This window comes from Homo sapiens, chromosome 10, assembly GCF_000001405.40.
Source record: "Homo sapiens chromosome 10, GRCh38.p14 Primary Assembly".
Taxonomy (NCBI): Eukaryota; Metazoa; Chordata; class Mammalia; order Primates; family Hominidae; genus Homo; species Homo sapiens.
This window is the reverse complement of record NC_000010.11, coordinates 42,961,443-42,988,533: the sequence shown is the minus strand read 5'-3', so window position 1 is coordinate 42,988,533 and position 27,091 is coordinate 42,961,443. Positions and strand designations below refer to the sequence as shown.

At 50.0% G+C, this 27,091-nt stretch overlaps 1 long non-coding RNA gene across 1 annotated transcript, besides 5 other annotated features; it reads left to right on the top strand.

The window, feature by feature from the left end:
- Positions 224 to 869: an enhancer, noted in NCBI's record as "H3K4me1 hESC enhancer chr10:43483113-43483758 (GRCh37/hg19 assembly coordinates)". NCBI's record gives its function as "activates a minimal SCP1, AML or CMV promoter by ChIP-STARR-seq in naive H9 embryonic stem cells {active_cell/tissue: H9 hESC(naive)}" and the evidence as "EXISTENCE:reporter gene assay evidence [ECO:0000049][PMID:30033119]".
- Positions 6,297 to 7,897: an enhancer, noted in NCBI's record as "VISTA enhancer hs2497". NCBI's record gives its function as "enhancer in: midbrain (mesencephalon)[3/4]" and the evidence as "EXISTENCE:transgenic organism evidence [ECO:0001131][PMID:17130149]".
- On the top strand, positions 7,027 to 9,517 carry LINC01264 (long intergenic non-protein coding RNA 1264). Its single transcript, NR_126352.1, has 3 exons — positions 7,027 to 7,166; positions 7,975 to 8,251; positions 9,435 to 9,517. It is a non-coding gene; the product is annotated as a long intergenic non-protein coding RNA 1264 (long non-coding RNA).
- Positions 12,619 to 12,913: an enhancer, noted in NCBI's record as "tiled region #9590; HepG2 Activating non-DNase unmatched - State 13:Ctcf, and K562 Activating non-DNase unmatched - State 12:CtcfO". NCBI's record gives its function as "activates a minimal TATA promoter and a strong SV40 promoter by Sharpr-MPRA in HepG2 and K562 cells {active_cell/tissue: HepG2 | K562}" and the evidence as "EXISTENCE:reporter gene assay evidence [ECO:0000049][PMID:27701403]".
- Positions 13,609 to 14,579: an enhancer, noted in NCBI's record as "H3K4me1 hESC enhancer chr10:43469403-43470373 (GRCh37/hg19 assembly coordinates)". NCBI's record gives its function as "activates a minimal SCP1, AML or CMV promoter by ChIP-STARR-seq in naive H9 embryonic stem cells {active_cell/tissue: H9 hESC(naive)}" and the evidence as "EXISTENCE:reporter gene assay evidence [ECO:0000049][PMID:30033119]".
- Positions 17,738 to 18,444: an enhancer, noted in NCBI's record as "H3K4me1 hESC enhancer chr10:43465538-43466244 (GRCh37/hg19 assembly coordinates)". NCBI's record gives its function as "activates a minimal SCP1, AML or CMV promoter by ChIP-STARR-seq in naive H9 embryonic stem cells {active_cell/tissue: H9 hESC(naive)}" and the evidence as "EXISTENCE:reporter gene assay evidence [ECO:0000049][PMID:30033119]".

Sequence of the window (27,091 nt, the reverse complement as noted above, 5' to 3'; positions counted from 1 at the left end):
ACAAGATCCCATTAGGGAGAGCCCACGGCCTCAGTGGCAGTGGGTCCAGCTTGCTACATTGTGGGTGATGCCAGCCCCAACTCACATATCTGAGAAGGAAAGCGCTCAGCCATTGGCTGGAAGGCTGGCCCCAGCCCCCAGCATCTGGGTGACCCTGCAAGGTGAAGCAAGAATGCCCATTTGGGAGGGTGAACAAGAGGGTGCACACCGAGTACCCCAGCTTCTGCTCCATGAAAAGCAGGGTGACCAAGGGTCTCTAGGGCAGGCCTGAGCCTGGGGTGTTAGGCCCAGGGTGGCTGCAGAGCCCCAACCAAGAGCACCTCCCCAGTACTCTCTCCAGTCGATACGCTGGACTCCAGGAAAAGGGAGGATCAGCAAAACTGGGCAGCTCAGTCCCTGTGGAGAGGCAGCAGAAGCGTCCCAGGAGGAAGCGCCCAGCCATAAATGGAGAGAGGAGATTCGGTAAGACCAAGTAATGGTCCTTCAGTGGGAGAGGCAGTCAGCTGGAATTCACAGGCCAGCTTCCAGATCGATACTTCTGTGCTGATTTGCTGAAGAGGCTTTTATGAAGTTTAAGCAGAGTTCATTGTTAAATACTCTTATGTACAAAGGATGTGGGCGGCCATATTAATTCCTTTTCTTTTACAGATCAATAATTACATTGCTGATTTGCTTAAAAGGCTCAGGTCGAGGCAGGGGCGAGGACAGCCCGCCTCACTGCTCCAGGGAGCTGAAGGCTGACATGACAGAGGCTGCAGTGACAGGGGACGATGGTTGGCATGTGGCAGGCATGTGGCTAGTCCTCTGCGGCAGCCAGGTAGGGTCACCTCCAGCCCCAGGGCTTCCCTTTGAACTCAGTCCTCCCTGTCTCTGAAGCTCTTCTCTCTGAGCTGAGCAGACAGTAACGTGACTTCAGGGAGCTCTCCCAGCCTCCTCTGCTCTTCTCTACACACCCAGCCTGCAGCCCAGCTCAGAGGAGCTGGGAGAGGAGACCTCGTAGGAGCTCTGAGCAAGAGGCCTGCTAGGGGAGAAGGGAGTGGAGAGGCCCAGGTGGCCTGAGGCCAGCGCCAATACTGCTCCCAAGACAGGAACAACAGGGAGTCTGGGACTCTGTACCCCGAGAAGGTGTCACCGTCAGGCCAGTGACCAGACCCCTCACAGGGACCAAGGTGGCGGTTGTGCACAGCTCTTTTCAGCTGTGGCTGTCAGCCTTGATGCTTCCTCTTTGATATTGTGACAGGATGGAGCATGACTGGTGTGTGGGTGTGTGGTGGATCGGGCAGGGCCCCGGGTCTTCCCATGATCGCCTGTGTGCTGCTGCCTGCTAGCAATCCCTGCCTTTGTCCAGCAAGGTGCTTTCATGCCTAGGAGCTCAGGAGGCTGACACAATAGACCTCCTGTGAGGTGGGAGCTTGGCAGGTTTGGGGTGCTCATTCCTGACTGTGGAGTAGGATCATGGGCTGTGCCCACTGAAGCAGCCTGCAGGAGGCTCAGCGGGGGGATCCTGGTCACCTCATATTACCCCTGCTCAGAGGCCACCGTACACATAAAAAAAAGGAGAAACAACAGTGTGGTGAGCAGCATCAATTAATGTCTCTCATCTGGATGGTCAGGAGGTTTCCTTGCCCCGGCCAGGACATGTATCATGTGTGATGGCTGTGGAAGGAGCTACATCTGAGCTCAGTGGTGAAGAGTGCCTGTAATTGATTAATAATGTCTACCACGGACAGGGCAAGGGCAGTGGTGACTCGTGAGTCATATATTTTCAGCCTCACACAGACCATAGAGTATGTTTGGCACTAAAAGCCCCATATGGATTGAGATTTGCAGAATCTCTTGGAAAAAAAGATACATCCTGGCTGAGCAGATCCTAGGGTCTCTTGACTGACCCTGCACATGTACACAGGTGCACAGATGCTGCCAGGAGGCCATTATGAATTCTATTTTATCTAATAGCCTGGTCAGGAAATGGAAGGGTATATTACAGATCATTAAGTGGGTGAAGGAATTTGACAACCTTTGATCCGACTCAGTAAAATAGATGGCATGAATTAATTCCCTGGCTTGTGGAGAGAAGAAAAGTCATCCTTCAACAGTGGTGACAGGCAGGGAGTTCACCCCCTGTGGGACAGATTCTAGGGAAGGCATGCAGCAGCTTCCCTGGGAGTGAAGGGCTGAGATGCATGGGGTGGGGAGCAGGAACCTGAGGGCCCCAGGCTGCCCCTCCAAGCCCCTGCTCCAGCCAAGGTATCATGAGAGGCACTAGTGTGTCCCTCACTTCCCCTTGGCCAGGGGACAGCTCTCAGGGAATGTTCTCCAAGACCAGGGGACAGCCCTTGAGGGCAACATGGGCACCAGTTACCCCTGAGGGCCAGGCCTGGGTCCCTAGGACTGACCCCTGTGCTCGTGCCTCACTGACCCTGCAAGGGGGCCGGGGATGGGGGCTCAGGGCAGGAACCTCAGGTCAGGCTCACAATGTCCAGTTACAAACAAGTCCACCTGGACATCCAGTAGGTATTCAAAAGGCACTTGTCCCCATTTCCTTCCCCATAGGCCTGCCCTCGCCCCACTCCAGCTGATGATAGCCCTGCACTCCCAGTTTCTCAGGCCACAGGTCCTGGCGTCTCCCTGGGTGCTGGCTTCTCTCATTTCCTTCACCCCACGCACCAGCAGTTCCCGTGGTCCCAGAATCTGACCCCTCACCTCCTGCCCACCTGCTGCATCTCTGCAGTGGCCCATTCTGCACTTTCCTGTCCACCAGCACTGCAGCCTGTCCTCCTGTTCTCTGCCCGAGACAACAGGATTCTCCTGAGATGTAAGTCAGAACCCACTGTGCCACTGCTCCAGCCATGTGCTGCTCTCTTGGGCACCTCACTGATCCACCAGGGACCCCTAGCCAGGGCCTCGATACTGGCGTCCCCCATGCCTGGCATGATCTCCCCCAGGTGTCCACATGGCTCAGCATCACCTCGGCAAGTTCTGTCCTCAGTGGGTATGTGGGCCCTCGGGGACATAGGTTTTGTCTTTTTGTCACTGCTGTGTCCCAGTGCCCACTCTAGGCTGATTATCTGTGACCCCCATTCATATGTGAAAGCCCAAACCCCAGCGTGATGGCAGTGGGTGTGAGGGCTGTGGGAGGGAATTAGGTCATGGGCGTGGAGACTCCATGAATGGGATTAGTGCACCTATAAGGAGGGATGCAAGGGGCATGATCTCACTCCACCATGGGAAGATGTCATGAGAGGACAGCCGGCCGCAAACCAGGAAGAGAGGCCTCACCACCACTGACCCTGCTGGAACCCAGTCCAGAGGCCGGCCTCCAGAACTGTTAGAAATGACTGTTTGCTCAAGCCGGTGTAACCTATCTTGTTATGGCAGCCCACAGCAGGGCCTGACAGGCAGTGGGACCTCAATGGGTATGTGCTGAATGAATGAAGGAGAAAGCTGGGCAGGCCAGGCCCTGTGGCCCCACAGGCTGCCGGAGGCTGCACTCTCTCCAGCGTTGGAGAAGCCTCTCCCCTCCGCTCAGATGAGGAGCAGACCCAGGAGCAGGACCTTGCGTGGACGTGGCAGGTTCTGTGGCAGGCCCAGGCTCGGGGAGTGACATTGACGGGGAAGAGGTGCTCAGGCAGAATCCTCCTGAATGGGCGAGTGGCTGTCACCTAGATAGGACACGAGGGGTGGGGGGAGCCTTTCCCTCATGGGGGTGGCACTTGCCAAGGCTAAGTGTGAAGTCCCCAGGCCAGAACAGGACCCTGCAGGGGGTGCAGTATGGCTGGGCCAGGGCCGCCTGCCAGGTATGATTGGCCAGGAGATGGGTCCAAGGTAGAGGGGGCTTGTCTTGGTGGCGCGTGCCCATGCACTGGCATCCCAGAGCTCCAGCGTCTTCTGTAGGCCTTGGAAACATGGTGAAGAATTTTGTGGGAAGGTGTGGCATCATCATTTTTGCATTTACAGTTATGTTGGCAGCGGGTGCAGCACCACGAGCAGGCAGAAAGTGGGAAACTGAGTCAGCAGAGGGTGAGCAGAAGTGGGGGAGCACGGGAGCAATGTTCTGGAGGGTTTCCAGCTCCCCCTCACCAGCTGTGTGGATACGGACATCCTCCTTTTTTCTCTTATTCTCAGTGTCTTCACCTGTAAGATGGACTGATAATGGAAATGGCACCAGGGCAGGCTGATGTTATGCCAGGTGGGTGTACAGAACACCTGCCAGAGCCCGAGTTCCCCAGGCAGAACTTCTGCCCTGTCTGCCAGTGCCCAAAGGAGCCCAGTGCACAGAGCACCTCTGAGTCTGCACCTCCCCTCAAGCTCATGTCCTCAGCCTGGCTGCTAATAGCTCAGTGAGGGCAGAGCCTTGATGGGGAACAAGACCTTTCTCGAAAAACACCCTGTGCTTGGCTGAAATGCGTCCTTAGTATGCAAGGATGCTGGGTCCATTAACATCGAGTGCACCATCATACCACAGGAGTGATTGTTTCTCAAATAGAATTACTTCCTCTGATTATCCTCTAAAGAGACAGGCCAGGGGATATGGGCGTGAGGTGCTGGGAGGCCAGAGCTAAATCCAATCAGGGACCTGGCTCTTGGGAGATGGGTCTGCACTGGGGTCCGTGTGGCATGTAAGTGGGGACCCTTGGGACCCTCAACAAGGCCTCTTCTGTTGCTCCCCCAGCCCCCACTCCACAGAGAGCCTGAGCCCCAGCCAAAAAAGGCGTGGGCCAGGCAGAGCACAGGGACCATGCGTGAGGGAAGATGGCAGGCGGGCTATTTGGGGGGCCTCTGTCTCAGTGCCCTGGAGAGATTTTGCTCCAAGCAGAGCTGGGTGTCCGTGGCCTTATGACCCTGTGCCATCTGCCCTTCCTGATGGCATCATCCCAAGCAGGTTACACAGCTCTCCACGAAGGGAGTGAAGAACCATCACACCCAGCATGTCCTAAAGACCTGGGTGCATCCCTCACTGAGCCCTGGGAGTGGGCACAATGATCCCCCATCTTACAGATGAGCAGGCTGAGGCACAGAGAGCCATCCAGCTGGTGTGGCTGTGGCACTGGGTGCCTCAGAGGCCCTGCTGTGGGTGTGGCATGTGTAACGGTGGATGAGACCGAATGGAGCAGCTGGTGTGGGGCAAGGGGCACGTACACAAGCACGAGAATTGACTCAGGGTAAGTGCGTTACAGAGAGGAACTCTAGGCAGGAGTTGCTGCAGCTGGGCCAGAGGGAGGGCCCCAGGGACAAGGTCTGCATGGAGGAAGGAAGGTGACCAAAAGGAATGCAGGATAAATGCTTCTAAACAGAAGGCACAGTGCGTGCAGAGGCCCGGAGATAGGGTGAATGTAAGGAACCTGGTGAGGCGGCAAGAGCTGCATGTGGGGAGCATGTGACAGGTGAGAGAGGAGATGAGACTGTAGGGTAAGCAGGTGCCGGCCAGGGGTGTTTAGAGGAGGGAGGAGGGTGGGTTTGGCCTGGCTGCCATGGTGGATGGCAGCAAGACCAAGCTGGCAAGCAGCGGGACCCAGTGCACACTCCAGAAACTTCTGCTGCTGCGGGAAGGGGCAGGGCAGGGCTAGGAGACACGGGGGAAGTTGTCTCCAGAGAGCTGTGGAGGATGACAGCTGAGGGGATGGTGCCAGGGAGAGAGCTGGGTGAGAATGTGTCCAGGTGAGGAAGGGTCAGGTGGGGGTGCATGCAGTTGAGGAAGGAATGCAGGTGAGGGTTGCCTGCATTCTGAAGATGGGCAATAGGGCATCCTTGGGTTAGGTGGGGGATGAGGGAATGATGGTGTGGGGGTCTCGAAGGGTTTTATTTATTTATTTATTTAGAGACAAGGTCTTGCTCTGTTGCCCAGGCTGGAGTCAAGTGGCACGACCTTGGCTCACTGCAGCCTTGACCTCCTGGGCTCATGCAATCTTCCTGCCCCAGTCTCCCAAATAGCTAGGACTACCAGTGCACGCCACTATGCCTGTCTAAATTTTTTAGTTTTTATGGAGATGAGGTCTCACTTTGTTGCCTAGGCTGGCCTCAAACTCCTGAGCTCGAGTGACCCTCCCACCTCAGCCTCCTGAATAGCTGGGATTACAGGCATGAGCCACCATACCTGGCTCATTTTTTAGTTTTTTTTTTTTTTTGATAGAGATGACATCTTGCCATGTTCTCCAGAGTAGTCTCCAATTCCTGGGCTCAAGCGATCCGCCCACTTCGGTCTTCCAAAGTGCTGGGATTACAGGCATGTGCCACCATGCCCAGCTCTCAAAGGGTTTTAGACCCAAGTAGCAGGAATAAGCCAGTTTAAACAGGGAGGAGATCAGGGTTGGGTCTTGGAACAGTTCTGGCCCCCAGGGTACCAGGTGCCACAGGCCTCAAGCAGGCTTAGAGTGTGTGGTTGGCTCGTGGGTGGAGGGTGTCGCGGTCACCGGCCCATGGTGGCACTGGCCATGCAGGGGCTGGATGACAGCACATAATTGGCACGGGACAGAGTCGGGATACCCTGACTTTCCTGGTGAGGGAGAGGGGAGGCATCTGCAGAGGAGCAGGTGGGAAGGCTCCAGGCAGGGGCCATCTGCAGCAAGTGCTGGTCAGGGCCTTGCTCCCCATGGCTCAGTGGGGCCTGGGGTTTCCTCCAGGCAGCTGCACATACCCCCCTGCCCTTCCCTGCCCAGTGGATTCAAGGACATACATCCCCTTAGCCTTCTGACCCCACCAGGGCGAGGCCCTGTGCCTGCTGTCAGACCAGAACATGCTGGCCCCCTGTCTCCTTCGTCTCTGGGCTCCCCAGCACTTAGCAAATCAAGGTTGCTGGGAGCGACGGTTGCATTAAATTGAATCACCCAGGGCATGTTCTTATCTCGTTCCTGCTCAGGCTTGGCTCCTCTCGCGTCTGAACCCATAAGTCGGCATGCTGTGTTCTGTGGGGCTGAGAGGCCCAGCTCACCCGATTAGAATCACGGTCAATATCTGCTTTATTGTCCTTCCACACCAGCATGGGCCACGTGATAGATCGCCCTCCCCGCGGCTGATAAGGAGGCTCTCTGAGGTCAGACGGGCCCTTGGGCTCCCGGGCAGGAGCACCCGGCCTCCCAGCTCCAGAAGCTGCGCCTCCTCCAGCTCGCCTGCCCCCACGCTGCCCAGTGACTCTCAGGAGGAGAGGAGCTGATGTTCCTGCACCCATGGTGAGTATGGTTGGTGGAGATACTGATCTGGGGGCCTGTATGGGAATGAGGTGGCCCTGGTCACAGCACAGAATACCAGAGCATGACACTGTCTACCACCCCAGGGGGGCTTCCCAAGCAGAGCTGAGTGAATGGCACCTGGTGCCACTTGCTCTCATGTGTCACTTGTCACCTTTGGGCTCACGCCTCAGCATACCCCCCAGAATGGCCCAGCCTCCACTCACAAGTCATCCTTCCTGAGCATTGTGGGGTCAAAACCTGGATGTCCTGGGGCGCCCCCAAAGGTGTGTCCTGCCCTGGCAGGGTGAGGAAAGGTGGGTGCGCTCATGGTGGAGGGGAGAGCGGGGTGAGCCATCACGTCCCTGCTGCACGTGGTGCTGTGGCTCAGAAGACCGGGCCCCAGCACTGGCAGTTGCAGGGCCCCGCAGCCCACAAGTGCTGTAGTGTGAAGATGTACTAGTGCTGTAGTGTGAGGACGCACAACTGTTCCATGTTTTCTATTTCACTCGAGTTTGGTTTTCTGCTTCACCCCACACCCCAACCTGCTCCTGGCTGGTCAGACCTGCCCTCCTCCAGGAGCGGGGAGCCAAGTCCTCTGGCTGTTTGTCCTGCTCTTTCAGAGCCCACCCTTGCCCTGTGGCCCTGGGTGCAGACAGCAGCTGACTGGCGAGGGCCCCTGCCCCCCATGGCTCCTCAAGGCACACCCACACCACTAGCATAGCCGCAGAGGATGTTGGACCCACCATGCGGTTTCTGTCAGTCCTCAGAGTGACTCTGAGAGAAGGATGCTTTCATTCCCGTTTCACAGATGAGGAAATCAAGACTCGGAATGTCCTGGTCCCTTTCCACAAGGCCTCGCCTTATCCGCTCCCACAAAGGGCTTACCTCTTCAGGAGGATCTGGCCCCATGGTCAGAGAAGTGAGTGAATATCAGCTGTGGGGCACCCAGAGCAGTTGCCATCTTCTGCTCTGTCTAGCCTGGGAGTCCTGGAAGGAGACTGCAGCCTGAGTGCCTCCCGAGCCAGCTCCTCTCCAGGACATCACCTTGGCCCCTGGGTGTCCCAACAGACAGTCAGCACACAAAGGCAGGTGACATGCGGACGTCCCTTTACCTGGCCCCTGTGTGGGAGGGGAGGTGAGGGGCATTTATTTGACATTTACCCGGGGTCTGCCTTGGCCCGCCGCACAGCTGCCCTGTTCAGAGGCGGGGCCCCAGTACACTCCAGGGTGAATGGCTGCTGAGTCTCGCCCTCTGCTCTGTACTGGACCATTGAGCCCAGATGGCACTGGCCATGACAACCTTGGCCCAGGCACTTAGAGACACGACTCTTCCAGCCACAGGGATGGCAACAAAGAGGCAAGACCTCCCTGGAGCTCACGGAGAGGCCTGGTCTTTCCACCTCACAGCTCTGTCCTCCTGCAGAGGCCCCTCTTCCCACTCCTGTCCCCTCCTCATGCTGCTTCTCACACTGGAACAATCTTGTCCATTAGTTGTCATAGCAACTGAGGCAGGGCGAAGTCATCCTCTAGAAGGGGCCCTGTGCAAATTATGGCATTACACCAACTTATTGCCAATCTTTTTAATTAAAACATTTTGCTTTCAACTCGGCTAATGGCAGAGATCAGTAAACAGGGGGAGATTGAATTACCGATATTGAAGCTCCCCCAGCTCTTAAAAGGCTTAATTACTGGTGGGACCACAGAGAGGCAAGGAGGGGCTGCCAGCGAGCAGGTGGGCCTGACCCACCAGGGCCGCGTGAAGGTGATCAAATGGAGCTCCGGCATTAAAAAATTTTAAACTCTTGAAGGACAGAATGAGCTACTAGAATTGTGGCTACAGTTCTGTTTCCAGGAACTATGACGTCATGTTGCTGGCTGCTGAATTTCTGTTTAATTAAATTGCCTATTTGACACCTGGAGGCAGAACTGGGTGTTCATGGTGTGGCTGACTGATAAGCCAGGACTCCACTTGCCCCAGAGACCCAGCCTCTTACCCAGGAGGGGAGAAGTAGGGGGAATGCTGCCCCCACCCAGGCAGTTCACATCCTCCTGACAGGAGCCCAGGGATCCCTTCCCCTCAGGGTGTCTGGTAGCTTCACAGCAGGAGGTGCCCTCAGGTGATCCCCATTTAGGGAGGAAAACAAAGGCTCCCAAGAGATGAGTCTCGCCCAGCCAGGGTCACAAAAGGACTCGAATCCAGTCCTTGCCAAGGCTTCTTTTCGAATCATGAATTTCGCTAATTACAGTCCTCTCCTTCCTCTCTTCCAGGTTACCTGATGCCCAGGTAGGAACTGCAGCTATTTTTAAACTGAGATTTCCTACAAATTAAAATTGCTTTGAGTATGTGTGAATACATGGATGTGAGTGTATATGTAGTTGAGTGTGTTGTGTGTATAAGTGTGTATTTGTGAGTGTATATGTGTGAATGTATGTTGTATGTATAAGTGTGCATGTGTGTGATGTATGTCATGCGTATATGTGTTCATATGTGTGTATATTGTATGTGTATATGCATGAGTGTATAAGTGTGTATGTGTACATGAGTGTGCAAGTGTATGAATGTATGTTGTGTGCATAAATATGTATGTGTGTGAGTGCATGTCATGTGTATATGTGTTTTTGTGGGTTGTGGTATAAGTGTATATGTGTGAGTATATATGTGTTTGTGGGTGTGTATGTGTGAGTATGAATGTATGTCATGTGTACATGTGTGAGCGTGTAAGTGTATATGTGAGTGTGTATATGTGTGAGTGTAAGAACTGTGTGAGGTGTGTGTGGGCACGTGTGTATATTACATGGACATGAGCATAGATACTTCTAGGCTCTCTGTTCCTAAGGGTTGGGGATCAGCTAGGGTCCCTGTAACAGAGCAGAATTTGATTCCTCATGAATGAAATTGACATTACAGAAGCACCTAAACCAAATTATAGCAAAAGGCAAAGGGATAAAAGACATACCCAGAAAATACGAGACCAAAACATTAGAAAAGCTGACATGGGATTACTAACAACGGACACAGAATGAAGGCAGGAAGCACTCATGAGGATGAAGAGGGACACTACAATGCATTTACCAGTAGGACTCACTAACCATGAACTTGTGCGCACTTAATAACATAATCTTGCTGCAAAGAGAAACTGACAAATTTGCCACCTCAGTGTAAGCTTTAAAACATTTTCTTATCAGAAATGGATAGCTCAGGGCTGGGCGTAGTAGCTCACGCCTGTAATCCCAGCACTTTGGGAGGCTGAGGCAGGTTGATCACTTGAAGTCGAGACCAGCCTGACCACATGGTGAAACCCCGTCTCTACTAAAAATACAAAATTAGCTGGGAGTGGTGGCACACGCCTGTAATCCCAGCTACTCGGGAGGCTGAGGCAGGAGAATTGCTTGAACCCAGGAGACAGAGGTTGCAGTGAGCCAAGATCGCACCCATTGCACTCCAGCCTGGGCGACCAGAGCGAAATGCCATCTCAGAAAAAAAAAAAAAAAAAAAAAAAGTAATGGATGGTTCAATGAGATTAAAAAATTAGGAAAATCAGGAAGTAAAAGGAAAGGAAGTCCCACGAAATTTTAAAAAATGATATCATATAGTACACACTCTCTGACTGTGTAATAAATTGAAAATAAGCAATTAAGAAATACGTATATAAAAATATGCTTGGAAATTTACAAATATCCTCCTAAATGACTGAAATCAAGATGGAAATTTCAAATCATTCAGCATTGTAGGATAGGAAATTACAGCAAAACCTGTGGAATGTAGCTAAAGCAGTATTTACAGGAAAACATATCACCTTTCAATGTATACATTAATTAAACAACAAGAAAGACTTAAGTGTATTTAAATTGAAAAGCAAAAAGCAGGTAAAGAAGTACTAAAGAGTAGATATTAATAAAACAATTTAAAAAAACCAGGAGCATAAATAAGGCCCAAGCCTATTTCTCTTTTTTTAATGCTAACAAAATAGGTTAAGTGAAGAAAGGATTCTGCTCTGAGAATGAGAGCATCCCTGTCTCCCTTCCTCTACTAGACCTGGTCTCTGACCATGAGGCCAGGTACTCCCCTCTGGTGCTCATGGCACCTGGATGCTCTCTACGGCCCTTGCAGTTGGGCAGCCTGTGCTCTGTACAACGGCGACAGCAATCCTGCCTGCCTGTGCCCAGCATTCCTCAGCTATACGGGACAAGCAAGGAGAGTGAAGGATGACAAGTGCTTGGTCAACCACGAAGCTCTGCAAGATGTACAAGATTCAATACACAGTAGCATGTGAGAAGTTCAGTGAAGCTCAGTGCCAGTGAGCATTTGCCCAGCTCTCTATTCACTCAGCATGAATGAGCACCTACCATATGCTGTACCAGAAAATGGGAGAGGGAGGTGGAACCTGGGTTTTGCAGTCCTGCCCTCTGAAATGTGCAGAAGAGTCCTCATGGTGGGGGAGTGTTCTGCCCCACAAGATAAAGGGCTCTGTGAGTGCAGAGGCTCTTTGGACACATGGCTCAAGTGTCCCACTGTGGCCCCCAATCATATCACTTCCTTTCCTGACCCCAGAATCCACTTGGGCACTCCAGCTCTGGAGATCTGCTCAGCCACCTGCCCTCTGGGGTCTTCTGAGGAGCAGAGCCCAACACCCACAGCCACAGTACTCCTTCCCTCAGGCCACCTAATCACAAGCGCACCGTCTCTGTGCCACATGTGCAAGCTCCTCACCACGCTGTTCTCAGGCACATGGGTTTCCTCCTCACATACAATCACCCCTGTCTCATGGACGACAGAGTGAAGACTCAGAGAGGATAAATAACATGGATGGAGTCAGGGTTTTACCTGGGCATTCCAATGCCAGCATCCACCCCAGGCGCCACCCCTGCCTTCCCTGGGGGCAGCCTGGCTGTCTGCCGACCCAGATAGAAAGGCAGCCCCTGCCCCTTGGTGGGGACAGGCAGTCACCCACATGCCCCCTCAAACCTCTCCACCAGCTCTGTTTCTCGGGGCACATCCCTGCTGCCTCAATCTTACCTGCCAGGAGGAGCGGGGCTGGCAGTGATTTACAAAACAGCCCCTCCCAGAGGAGCTGGGGCTGAGGGGGGCTACATTACCCCGCATCTGTTTCTGCCTGGAGTTCTCCTGTGCTTTAGGGCCTCAGGAGGGTGGTCACAGGGACAGTCACAACCTCCATCAACCGCCCTTCAGCGGTGGCTGTCGGCAGGGAGGCTGGGCAGGCAGTCGGCGTGGGGAATCCGTCTTCCTCTCCTTGATATATGGGTAATGGAGACCCTGACCATCAAGCTGTCGGGAATTTCTCATCTGCCCGCGATGCGTCCCCAAAGGGAATGTTAATCCATAGATCCAATCCTCCACCCCATCCTTACAGGCAGCCTGGTAAAAATGGCCTCACTGCACTCCCAGGGAGGGTTGTATTCATGGAGCTGTTGTTTAAGATGGGATGGTCCTTCTTGAAAGCAGGGGTCATCAGGCTGTGGTCCACTCTGAACGAGAATCGCTACCTCTAACAGGCGAACAGGCATCCCTGGCCAGCAGGTGGCTTGCCAGCTCCCACCCACTTGGAGTCGCTGCTGTGCTCACACTGGGCCCTGCGGGTGCTGACGTGGCTTGACAGTAACTCTGCATGTGGCCCCAGGGGTGGGTGAGCCATGTGGCATCTTCCGTCCTGCCCTGCGGGTGCACCCTGGCTCAAATCCTGCTCAGGGTCCTCAGCAATGCTCCAACCTGTTTCTGCACCAGGAAAATGATGCAGAGCACCCCCTCACCCTAGGCGTGAGTCTCTCCTGCTCCTGACCCTGTAGTCTCTTCTCTGGACCTCAAAAGGACCTAGGGGCTAGCCAGTCTGTCACATGCCAGCCCTGGTGTTTCCAACCCCCTCCTAGGGTAACTGTGATGGAGCGGTAGGTTGTGTGGCTGCAGCGTGGGGCCTGGGAGGCCTGGAGAAGACTGCACCTCATCCAGGCTGAGTCGGCTCAGGCATGGTGTGGTGGCTGTCAGAGGTGCAGGGCCTCAGGGAGGAAGTGGCTCTGGAGTGCAGGGCTCCCAGGGTGATGCTGCCTGCAGGGGAGGCTGGAGGGGGTGGGCTCTCAGGGTTGGGTGACTGATGGCCCATTTGGTGGCTGAGGGCTGTGCTCAGTTCAGCTCTGGGCCTGTACTGTCAGGAAATCCCAGGGGGCTTTTCAAATTGCCTGGGGCCAGCTAGAGCAGCCTGGAGGGAGGCTGGAGCCCTGGCTGGAGAGGACACCCTCCCCTGCCACTGGGCACAGGCCTGGCCTCCTGTGGGAGGGTCCAGAGCCCTGGCAGGCAGCCCCAGCGGGGGTGCAGCATCAGCCCCTCACCCAGGCATGCAGAGCTCAGCAAGGAGGGGCTGGCACTGTGTGCAGGGCATTCTCCCCTCTCCCACTGGACCTGAGGCTCTTCTGTAACCTGGATGAGAACAGGGGTGCCTCTGGGTGAACAATCCTGACACCCTGGCCCCTTCACGAGCTCTGAGCCTCTCCCAGGTCATTCGTGGAGCCCCAGTGGACTGGCCCCAAGCTTGAGCCCCTCTGCTCCTCTCTCTCACCTCAGGCCCTCCATTTCAGCCGCAGCCTACCAGGAGCTGCTTTGGACAGCTCAGGGGTCCAGGCCTGGGGTGGGGTGAGGGCCTCCCCAACTCCACATCACTTGTGGACTCCAAAGTCGCTCTGCTGGACCCAATATCTTTCCAGGTCCCTCTGAACAGCCCAGTCTCCCTGCTGCTGCCTCCAGCCCCTTCCCCAGGGACCCAGGGGGACCTTAGCCCTCCCACTGCTGCCCTGCCTGGCTCTACCCCCTCCCTGCTGAGAAGCCCCTGCCTTTGCCAGTGACAAAGTCTCCATGAACATAGACGTGTGGTGTGTCTGTGCCAACAGAACCCCACAGACACCTAGAGTTCAGGCCACAGGGCCAGGGACTGGCCTCTCGTTAGTCAGCACCAACTTCCATGTCCCCAGCCAGCCTCCCCACCTTATCCTCAGGGCTGTAACAGGGGCATATGCCACTAGGTTTTTGGGGGAGCTGCTTCAGAGGACCCACACACTGCCTGCCAGAGTATGCTGGTCATCCCCACCCTCATGGGCCCAGGGGTCTCCAACTGCCACCCAACTCTTGTCCCCCAGGATCCAAGTGGACGGTAAGATGTTCCTCAGCACATCCCCTGCCAGGAGTACCCCCAGCTCCTTCCCCAAACTGAGGCCATTCTAGCATCCCTGCTCCTGGGGATGAAGAATGAGCCAGCACCCACCACGGCCACGGGCCCCTTCATCAGCAGAGAAACCACTGGGCTCCCAAGCCTGAATGGCACCGCGCTGGAGTCTGACAACACCAGACAGGCACAGACCCCCAGCAGCCCTCCTGGGGGACAGAGCCAGACAGGAGAGTGACTGTTGCCTTCCAACAAAGAGATGGGCACTCCTACCATGGAGTAAGAAAAGCGGAGTGGCAGTGGGGAGTGAGAGAAAAGCAGAAATGAGTAAGGAGAAAGAACCACAGAGGCAAAGAAATGGAAAAGATGCATCAGGGCCTGCTTTGCAAACTGCTGGACAGAAAATTTGGATACTTAGGTAAAAATGATGATTTTCTAGAGCTATGTAAATGACTAAAATTAACCCCTGAAGAATAAAAAACGTAAAGTTTAACAAACGTTGCAAAGGTGTTTGGCAGTTCAGTAGCCATTAACCCTGATGAGACAGAGAAGAGGGAGGTGCGTACAAGCGGACATCAGCCCAAAGGCTGCAGCCCCCACAGCCAGGGAGCATGGCAGGAGTCTGATCGTGAGCTGCTGATGTCTTGGAGACAGGGACACAGGAGAAGAGAGGAAGGGAAGATGGAGTCACACACAGGTACAGGGCTGGCCAATGAAACCCAAAGACTTGGCTGAAAATAAGAGCATTCTGCAGAGTTGCTACTAACAAAAATAACATGCAAAGATCGAGGGCTTTCCCATGCATAAACCATGACTAAATAAAGAGGTAATGGAATAAAAGATTACATTCACAAAAGCAATACATAAAATAAAAATATATAGAAGTAATCTTAACAAGTGTGTGGAATCTACATGAAGACAACTCAGAACTGCTACAGGAGGACGTTAAAAGGCTGGCACAGCGATAGTGAAATGGACTGTGTTATACAACCACAGTTAAGACGGTTTGATATTGCATAAGAAATTTACAAGGCAGAGTCCAAATATAGATGTCACAATGGAAATTTCACAGGCAATGGGGTGGCCTTAGACTAATGGGAACAATGAGGGACCATTCGATAAATAATGACGTGACTCGAGACCCCCCACAAGGAAAAAATAAGGCTACTTTTGATAAAGTTATTTGATGCCAAATCAATTCCAGACTAAAGTATTAAGCCATAAAATTACTGGAAGTAAACATGATTTTTTAAAAAAATAAAGACCTTTCTGAGCAACCCAAACCAAATGAATTTTAAAATGATCAATACGTTTGTTTACACACTGTAAGACTTTGGTATGATAAAATAAACAAACAAATAAATTGGGGGGAAATATTTGCAGCACATATGACAGCTAAGGGCCCTATTTCCTAAACGGACTAAGTGCTCTCAGGCACCAATAAGAAAAGGTACCCTAATGGAGAAATGGACAAAAATGTAAAAAAGAGTACTTGACTTCACTCATAACTAAATAAACACAAAATAGAATGACATTCTTTTTTCATTGGAAAGTGGTGATAACATCATACCCTGTTGAAAGATGTGGAAATCTTTTTGAAAACAATTTGACAAGATCCGTTTAAAAATTTCCTTGCACAGATGTTTTGGCCCAGGTTGTTTTTAGCTCATTGTTTTGGGTTGTACTACCAGAAATTTATCCTAAGAACACACTTGCAGAATTTTCCAAGTAAAATTTGAACAAGTAAAATTTCCTGGAGCGTTGTCTGCAGGGGCCAACAGCAGGGCACTGGTCAGCCATGGCCCACACACACATCCACACGTGGGCATCCATTCCATTACACCTAAAAAAAGGCGTCACAGACACAGCATGCCTCAGAAGCATGGGCAGCATCACGCTGTTTGCGCACATGCTGAATTTGCATAAGTGTTTTTCTGAGAGTATGCACAAGAAACGGTCAAGAGCAGTTATCTGGGAGAGAGGAAATATTGGGAGTAGGCTTTTACATTTCATTGTGCACATTTCATATAATTTAATACTGTTCGAGATGTATGGTGTGCAGGTATTACTTTTAATAAAAACCTAATCAACAACAGCAATAAAACAACTCGCAGGCAAAGCAAAAATAAATAAACAACACAACTTACTGCTTTAACAGAAGGTGCCAAAGGTATGGACCTATTTATCCTGAGATGTCTGTACATATTACATCATTTCGAGAGTGATGGAGTGAGTGAGCTAAGAGCAGAGAGACCGTGGCCCAGTGGTGTCCTAGTGCACTGGGGCAGACCCCTACCAGTGATGCCATGCCTTCTTTCCAGAATGTGCCTCGGAAATTCAGTGGGACTGAGTGAGTTACAGGGAAAACACCCTCACTCAAATGATCTATAAAATGGGTATTGGCCAGGCCTGGTGTCTCATGTCTATAATCCCAGCACCTTGTGAGGCTGAGACAGAAGGATTGTTTGAGGCCAGGAGTTCGAGACTAGCTTCAGCAACATAGTGAGACCCTGTCTCTACAAAAAATAAAAAAATTAGCCAGGCGTGGTGGTGCACGCCTGTGGTCCCAGCTACTGGGGAGACTGATGTGGGAGGATCACTTGAGCCCAGGAGATAGAGGCTGAAGTAAGCCTTGATCACGTGTATCAAGCAGTTAAAAAAAATTACAACGCCTTGTCCTTAATAAGTCATAATTGGCTCATGTCTCTGAGCCTCCTGTCGCAGCTGGACTTAAGCCCCTTGGCAGGGCCTCACATCCCAGCATTGGATGGGTAGGTTTGGGCTTGGTCTCTGTAATCCCTTTGAGTGAACCTGGAGGTGCCAGGCCTCTACGGGTCTAAGACTTGAGCTCAGTTAAGGAACCCATCCAGGCTGGGTGTTGAGGGACACACAGGATGTTTGGGACACAGCTGTGGGCTGGGACCCCATGAGGGAGGCCATATAGCTACTCTTTTCCATCCCTTCCCTCAACAGGCTCTGCTGAGGCCTGAGCCCAGGCATGCAGAGTCCCTCCTGCACTCTTGCCTGCAAAAGCCCCGTGGCTGATTTCCATCTGCCCCTCCACCTGCCCTGGGGCATTGTTCAGAGCAAGAGCACCCCGGGGAAGGAACGAGCTTCTACAAGACCTGGAAAGCAGCTGTGGGCCTTCCTTTGGGATGACAGGCCTGGACGGGCTGTGGCACTTCCCCTACCCCTCAATGGCCACAAGTTTCCTTCCCTCTAGGGCAGAAGCCCTGAGGAAGGGAGCTTGCTGGGGGAGGCCTGGTGCCAGCAGCACGGCTCTGGGAGCTCCTGGTGGTGGGTATGGCTGGGGCCTGACTTGGGTCTGTGCTGAGTGAGCAAAATGCCTGGGTGATGCTGGCAGCCGGGCTGCAGAGCAAGGCCTTCATTGGATTTGGGAGAGCCTCTGCCGGCCCAGGCCTGGGTGGCTGCTATTGAATTAGTCAGCTAAGCAGAGCAGGAAGGAGCTGTTCCCCTAATTGGACTTGATGGATCTCTTAGTCCTATGCAGATGCCAGACGCAAGATAGCTGCCTGACCTCTGCTATGGGGTGGACCAGGAGCTGCCCCTCCCCAGGAAGCCTCTGCAGCTGCGGGGCTGGGAGCTGAGGGCCGGACTGGGGTCGGGGCTGCAGAGGGCTGGAGGGCAGGCTCTGCCACAGCAGGATGGGGAGGAGATGTGGAGGTGGGGCGTGGGCCGAGCTGTGTCCCCGACTAACAGGGGTGAAGGCTCCTTGTCTGCGCAATTGTCCCTCGTCTAATTTCGGTGACTGAGTGCACCTTCCAATGTGCCTTCAGACCCCGATGACATCTTCAGAAGGATGGCCTCCCTCTTCACAGGCACCCAGCTCCAGAGTCTCTCTCTGCCTCCTTCCCACCCAACCCCCACCCTGCCTGCCTCGAGCACAGTTGAGGTGAAGGCCCAGGTGGGAAACAGAGGCTGGATGGAGCTCTCTGCCCCTGGGCCGGAGCCGAGGGGCTCTCCAGGGTCCTGCAGTGCCATGGAGCCACCACCCAAAGGGTGACAATTCCTTTTGTCTGGGAACCCTGCTGAGCACTAGCAGGAGGCCTCTCCAAGGGTCTCACCCACCTGCAGAGTAAGGGGTCACCCATGGTCAGCGCCTAGGTGAGGCTTATCTTCCCTTCCACAGGGAGAAAGGGGGACTTCGCAGGGTGCAAGGTGGGGGACCCCTTGGTACCTCTCCGCATCCTCCTCATCTCCTCCCCCTCAGGAGACCCTGGGCCTCCTGTGCAATCCAGCAAATGCAGAGGGCTGGAGGGACTTTCCTAGGGGTGCCGGGGGCACACCCTACCTAGTGAGAAAATGGGATCCCCCACCCCTAACCCCCAAGTGCCTTCCAGAGCAATTGAGTTCCAGTGTTAGCAAAGAAACCATAAGATGCTGAATGGGGGGGTGGAAAAGACTTTCCAATCAGGAAAGCACAGTGAAAGCAAACAAACACAGGAGGCTTCAACTCGCTTTAAAATTAAAAAGCAAAGCAATGCACAGGCACAGCTCGCAGGCAAAGTTCAAGAGCAAATAACGCCTCCCTCGGGGAACCGCTGCCACACACACTACAACTGGAGGACCACTGTCCTTCCTGTACAAAGAGCTCTTATCAATCACGAAAGAGCAGGAGAACAGGGAGACACACAGGAGGAAAAACCTGTGAACCCAGGAGACTGGCTGTGCAGCAAGGTGATTTCTGAGTTGCTGAATGTATGTTGTTTTCGTTTTGCCCTCTCTGGAAGTGAGAAGAGCCCAGAGGCAGGCCCTCCCTTAAAAGCCCAGTGCCCTGAATGGAGGATACTGGTGTCCTGGGGTGGCCAGGGAGAACATCTGAGATTCAGATGGGGCTGGGGCCTTGCAGAGCCCGGGAGGGCTGCCAGGGGCTGGGGCTGCACCTGTGACTCCAGGCGGTGGGTGCTGCAGTTAGGGGTGGGAGGGCCTTATGGCCAAGGAGGGAATGGGAACATCAAAGACTGCAAACCTGAAGGGCCCATTTTTATAGTTTCTGGTCTGCAGACCAGAGCCACAGGGTCTCAGCAGTAGCCAGGGCCAGTGGTCACTGAGCCTAGAAAGTCTCCATAAAAGATCCCAGAAAAAAGACCACAGAAAAGGTCCAAGGAAGGGATAGGGGCTTGGAATTGTCCAGAAAGAGAGAAACAAGATTGTTCTTTACATCTGTGATTGGACATTGAGAGTTACACTTGCTTTACTAGCATGGAATGCAAGTTAAAACAATAAAATATAATATTTCATTCACAATAAAGGCAAATACAATATTTAAAAAATAATTGAATACTCCACATAGAGGAAGGTTGGCCATACTTCCAGGTGGAGTAGATTTGGGGACACATTTTCTAGACAGTAATCTTAAAAATGATCATAGTCTTTGACACAAAAATTCCCCTCCTAAGAATCTGTCTTAAGGAAAAAAATCAGAGACATGCCCAAAGATGTATGAATTTGTTCACACAATTCAACTCATAATGACAAAAATTAAAGCTTAAATATATATCAGCTGTGGAATTATGACATATCCACATATGTTAAAATCATATTTTAGAAAAATATTTGATAACCCAAAGATATGATTGAGATACTGCTAAGTGAAGTGAGATACTGTTAAGTGTTTGAACACTTCAAATACACATGCACTTCATAAAAACAAAAATTTAGGACTTAAACCTAAGACCTGAAACTATGAAAATTCTAGAAGATAATATTGGAAAAACCCTTCTGGACACTGGCTTAGGCAAGGATTTCATGACAAAGAACCCAAAAGCAAATGCAATAAAAACAAAGATAAATAGCTGGGACTTAATTAACCTAAAGAGCTTTTGCATGGCAAAAGGAACAGTCAGCAGAGAAACAGACAATGCACAGAGTAGGAGAAAACCTTCACAATCTATACATCTGACAGAGGACTAATATCCAGAATCTACAGCGAACTCAAACAAATCAGTAAGAAATAAACAAACAATGCCATCAAAAAGTGGGCTAAGGACATGAATAGACAGTTCTCAAAAGAAGATACACAAATGGCCAACAAACATACGAAAAAATGCTCAACATCACTAGTGATCAGGGAAATGCAAACCAAAACCACAATGTGACACCACCTTACTCCTGCAAGAATGGCCATAACCAAAAAATCAAAAAACAGTAGATGTTGGCGTGGATGTGGTGATGAGGGAATGCTCCTACACTGCTGGTGGGAATGTAAATTAGTACAGCCACTATGGAAAACACTGTGGAAATTTCTTAAAGAACTAAAAGTAGAGCTACCATTTGATCCAGCAATCCCACTATTGGGTATCTACCAGAGGAAAATAAGTCATTATTCAAAAAAGATACTTTCACACACGTTTATAGCAGCACAGTTCACAATATCAAAATCGTGGAACCAACCCAAATGCCCATCAATCAATGAGTGCATAAGGAAACTCTGATACATATATTATATATCTATATATAAAATATATATTACATATATCTATATATTTTATATATAGATATATAATATATAACTGTATATTTATATATAAATATTTATATATATTTCATGTATATATAAATATTTATACATATTTCATATATATTTATATAGAGATATATAAATAAATATATAAATATATTTATTTATATATACATATATAAATATATTTATTTATATATACATAAATATTTATTTGTATATAGATATTTATATATCTATATATAAATATATTTCATATATAGATACATATAAATAAATATATATGAAATATATATATATTTGTATCATTCTTATGCCTTTGCATTCTCATAGCTTAGCTCCCACACATCAGTGAGAACATACGATGTTTGGTTTTCCATTCCTGAGTTACTTCACTTAGAATAATAGTCTCCAATCTCATCCAGGTCACTGCAAATGCTGTTAATTCATTCCTTTGTATGATTGAGTAGTATTCCATATATATATATGTGTATATATATATATATATATATATATATATATATACATATATATATAGAATACTACTATATGGAATACTATATATATATATATATATGCACACTACTGAGTAGTATTCCATATATATGATTATATATATATGATGGAATACTACTCAGCCATACAAAGGAATGAATTAACAGCATTTGCAGTGACCTGAATGAGATTGGAGACTATTATTCTAAGTGAAGTAACTCAGGAATGGAAAACCAAACATCGTATGTTCTCACTGATATGTGAGAGCTAAGCTATGAGAATGCAAAGGCATAAGAAGGATACAATGGACTTTGGGGACTTGAGAGGAAGAGTGGGAGGGGACGAGGGATAAAAGATTGCAAATACGGTGCAATGTATACTGCTCTGGTGATGGGTGCACCAAAATTTCACTAATCACCACTAAAGAACTTACTCATGTAACAAAATACCACCCGTACCCCAATAACTTATGGAAAAACAAATTCACGTCAAAGAAGTCAGGAGGGTGCTTGCCAAAGTGAGCAGAGGTCCAGGCGGGGTGGAGTGGCAAGGTTTGCAGATAGATTATTTTCTCGATAGCTTTTTGTGTTTTCCAAATTTTCTTCCATGAAAATATATTTATTTTGTAATCGTGTAAAATAAATGTTATTTTAAAGTTAATCACAGAATCAAACTGCTGGAGCAGGAAAGAAAGGAGCGAGAGGAAAGGCTGTTTGCTGAGGGTCGGCTCTGAGCAGGGGCCTTAGTCTTCCCAGAAACCCATAGCCTTGTGCACGGCAGCCGGGTTCTGGATTAGGAACCCCTGGGAGTTGAAATAACCAACCCAGGGAGCAGGCTGAGAGGCGGCAGAGCCCATTCTCAAGCACGCCTGTCTTCTCTATTCCGCGTGCCGATGCAAACCTTCCACTTTCAAATGAAAAAACCCTGAAAAAGCCTGAAACAGAAATGTACAGCACTGAAAGCTTACATTAGAAAAGAGGAAAAGTCTCAGATCAGTCATCGAAATTACTAACCCAAGAAACACGAGAAAGAAAAGCAAAATAAACCCAGAGCAAGGCAGAGCAAAGGAAATAATAAAGAGCAGCAGTCGATGAAACTGACAACAGGAAAACAATAGAGAAAAACAAGGAAACAAAAATCTAGTTCTTCAAAAAATAAACCTCTGGCAAGATTCACAAAGATAAAACAAGAGAAGACTCAAATCACCAATATCAGGAATAAAACAGAGATATTACAGATCTTTCAGCCATTTTAAAGACAACAAAGGAACGCTACAGTTTTACCCTCATAAATTCAACAGTGTGGAAGAAATGAACCAATTCCTCAAAAACCACAAATGGCCAAAACTCAACCAATATGAAACATGCAACTTGAATAGTCTTATAACAATTAAACACACTGAATGTGAAATTTAAAAGAAATCTTCAGGCCCAGATGGCTTCGTTGGAGAATTCTACCACACATTTATGAAGAATTAACACCTATTTTACAAAATCCGTCTTAAAAAATAGAAGAGGAAAGAACACTTTTATTAGGCTAGGCCCGATACCAAAACCAGACAAAGACAACATGTGATAATAAAAGTACAGACCAACATTTCTCATGAACTTCAGCACAAGGATTGTTGACAAAATATCAGCAAATCAAATTCAGCAACATTTAAAAGGAATTATACACCATGAGCAGTTGGGATTTATCCCAGGTATGCAGGGTTGGTTCAGAATTACAAGACCAACCAATGTAATACACCTACCAACAGGCTACAGAGGAAAAGTCATGTGATTCTATCAGTTGACGCAGGAAAAGCATTTGACAAAATCCAACACCTAGTCATGATAAAAACTCTCAGCAAACTTGGAGCAAAGGAGAATTTTCTTAACTTCATAAAGAGCATCTGTAAAAACCTATAGCTAACATACTTAATGGTAAAAGACTGAATATTTTCCTTCTACGATTTGGTACAAGGAAAAGTGTCCATTCTCACCTCTCTTATGCAGTAGACTACTGCAAGCTCTACCAACTACAATATGTCAAGAAAAAGAAATAAAAGACATGCAGATTGGAATGAAAGAAATTAACTGTCTGTATTTGCAGATGACATGACAGTCTCTGTAGAAAATCCCAAGGAATCTGCAAAAGAACTAATAAGTGAGTGTAGCAAGTTGCAGTATGTAAGATCAACACACAAAAATCAATCCATTTCTATACATTAAAAAAGAAGGTGTGAAAACAAATTAAAAATATAATATCATTTACAGTCATTTCAAAAACAATGAAATACTTCATTATAAACTTAAAAAAACATGTACAGTACTCAACATATAAGGATGTCAATTTTTCCAAAATTCTACAGGTTTAATGTAGTTACTGTCAAAATTTTAGCAAGTATTTTTGTGGATATAGACAAGCTTATTTTTCCATAAAATTTATGTGGAAACACACAGGACCTAGAACAGCAAAACCCATCTTGAGAAGGAAGAATAAGTGGAAGGAATCACTATTTGAAATTAAAGCTTACTAATCAAGACAGTAGGGTATTGGCAGATGGACAGACACACATAGATCAACGGACCCCAGAAATAGACTCACACAAATATGCCCACCTAATATTCCGCAAAAGTATGAAGCCATTCATCAGAGGAGGGACAGCTTTTCCAATAAATGATGCGGGAACAACTGGACATCACAGCAAAAATAATGAATTCACACTTTATACAAAAACTAACTCAAAATGGATTAGGTGTAAATGTAAAGCTATAAAGCTTTTTTTTCTTAATAGCAGAAAATTTTCGGGATCTAGAACTAGCCACGTTGTTAGAATTGACGTAAAAAACAATTGGACTTTCTTAAAATTAGAAGCTTTTGTTCTGTGAAAGAGCCTGTTAAGGGAATGAAAAGACAAGCTACAGACTGGGAGAAAATATTTGCAAACTATGTATCCGATGAAGGCTTTTAACATCTAGAATAAACAACTCTCAAAATGCAGTAGTAAACAAACAAGCGAATTAGGAAACTGGCAAAAGATATGAAGAGTTATTCCATATAAGAGCATACCCAGATGGCAAATAAACCCATGAAAACACGTTTGTCATCATTACTCATTAGGGAAATACAAGTTAAAATTGCATGGAGATACCATTATATACACATCAACATAGCTAAAATAAAAAACAGTGAGAACCCCACATGCTGGTAAGGATGTGGAGAAACTGCATCACCTATACATGATGCTGGTGGGAATGTAAAATGTTAAAGCCACTCCAGAAAACAGTTTCTTAGTTTCTTATAAAACTAAACATGCAACTGACATGTGACCCAGCAATTGCACTCCCAGGCATTTATCTCAGAGAAATGAAGACTTGTAGTCATACAAAAACCTGTACACAAAAGCTCATAGTAGCTTTGTTCACAGTAGCCCAAAACCGAGAGCTCTGCAAAGAGCCTTCAATGGGTGAATGGTCAAGCCATAGTGCATCCACTCCATGGAATCCTACTCAACATTAGAAAGCAATCAACTGCTGGTACATGGGACAACTTGGATGGATCTACAGGGATCTGGGCCGAGTGAAAAAAAAAGCCAATGCCGGGAGGTTACATAATGTAACGATTCCATTTATATAACAATCTTGAAATGACAAAACTGTAGAAATGGAGAAGTGGTGAGTGGCTGCCAGGGGTTATGGAGGGGCTGGGGAGGGAGGGAGGGAAGTGGGTGTGGCTGCGGATGGCCCCTGGTGGTAAGGGAATACTCTGTAACTTGACTCTACGGATGTCAGTATCCTGGCTGTGATACCGTACTGTAGTTTTGCAAGATGTTATCACTGAAGGAAATTGGGTAAAGGGTACTTCAGACCTCTCTGTATCGTTTCTTATAAGTGCATGCATGAATTGTATGCTCATTCTACAATTCTCTCAAAATAAATTTTTTTTTTTAAAAAAAGGCCCAGATAGGCGACATGACTAGGGGCCCATGGTCTGCAAACCAGGTGGCGTGGGGCTTGGAGACACCCATGGGGGTGGCGTAGCCCTCCTGGGAGTTCCACGACAACCCTGAGGCAACTTCTTCCTCATCCACCTGTGGCCAATGCATTATGGAGACCCTATGATCCCATCAGAAGGCACGTCCTGAGTCCCTCTGCCCCTTTCCAGCCCACCACCAACCAACCGCACAGCTGGCTTCTGTCCCTTCTAGTTGGATAGCCCAACCCCAGCTTCCAAGGTGCTGCCCCAGGCTGGGCGGTGGACTCCTCTTGTCTCTACAGTTCCTGTCTTCTCTCCCTCTGGTCAGCTCTGGGGGCCACTCCCTGCCTGCTTGCTTTCAGGGTGGGCAGGTGTGCCTGAGATCTTCTGGTGGGTGGAGGGGCCGGTGTCTGCCCGACACCAATGGCAAGTGCCAGCCAAGGCCCCCTCCAGGCTGTATCACCAAGGGCCCCTGGTTCTTCCTCTGCTTGCTCTGAGGCCCCACTTCCGTGCCGGGATGGGTTTTGGGGAGGTGGTCACTGTGCTGCCAGACAGGCAGGAAGGGAGCACAGAGCAGAGAGGGAGCACAGAGCAGAGAGGGAGCACAGAGCTCCCCTCCTGGCAGGGGTGAGTCCAGGCCTCCAGTGAGAGAGGGCTGGCCAGGGATGCAGCCCGGGTCGCAGTGGGCCCCTTGCCAGCAGGCTCCCTGGGCAGGAGGCCGCAGCAGCACAATGTCAGTGATCCCCAGCCTCAGAGCCTGTGAGCCAGCACACCAGCCCCTGGCCTCAGCTGCTGTCCCCAGGAAACCTCTGCTCTCCCTCCATGTGCTTTTGGACATGGAGCCTGCAGCTGGGGCAAGACAAGGACGCCACATGTGCAGAGCGTCAGCACTGGGACTCCCTGCTGCGCTCTGGACTCGACCTTGGGGACTCCTGGCCCCTCCTGATGCAGCAGCTGCGGCTGCAGTGGCCCTCCCTTCCCTCCCACCCTCTGAGGCCAAGCCTGTCCCAGGAGGAAGGACACAGAGGCCCTGACAAAGAGTGAGATCTGCCACACGGAGAGCCACGCCTGCCTGGAGCACAGGAGGCCGGGGGTGGGCAGGCTGGGACAATTCTTCAGGCTGCAGGAGACTCTCTGGTCCCAGTCACACCGCTGGGGCTGACAGGAAGCAGCCATGCTCCCACCCAAGTGGAGAGTGAGCTCTGGATTCAGGCACTCAGGCTGATCCAGTGCTGATCGGGAAATCGGGCCAGCAGAGGATGGTGCAGAGGACTCGCCTGAACTGGCCTCCTTCACCCCAGCTCCTACCAGCTGGGGTGAGAGCCTGCAGCCAGGCCCACAGTGGAGGCCGAGCCAAGGTGCAGCCTTTATGGGAGGGCCGATGGTGGTGTGTGTAACCCCTGAGGGTCCCAGGGAGCTGGAGAACTCACTCCTCTCCCAGGCACGTGGAGGTTTGGGGAAATCCTAGGAACGATGATCTGACATAAACATGATCATTATTATGAGCTGGAGGGATCATTTCCTTCCATTCCAGACAAGAAAATGGAGGCCCACAGAGAGTCAGCTGGAGCAAGCTGGACTCACGTGGGGCCCACTCCGGGCCCAGGATCCCCAGGCTATCCCATTCTCCTCGAGGTGGGGCTCCATGGGGGCTGTGTCAGGACTGCTCTGAGGTGCCCAGGCAGCAGCCATGCTAGCATCATCCTCAGAGCACAGACCATCTCTGAGTAAGTCTAGTATGGGAGAATGCTGTATTGTCAAGACGATTTTTGATTACACAATCACAAAGTGAATACTCCATGAACAGAAAGGCATGCTGG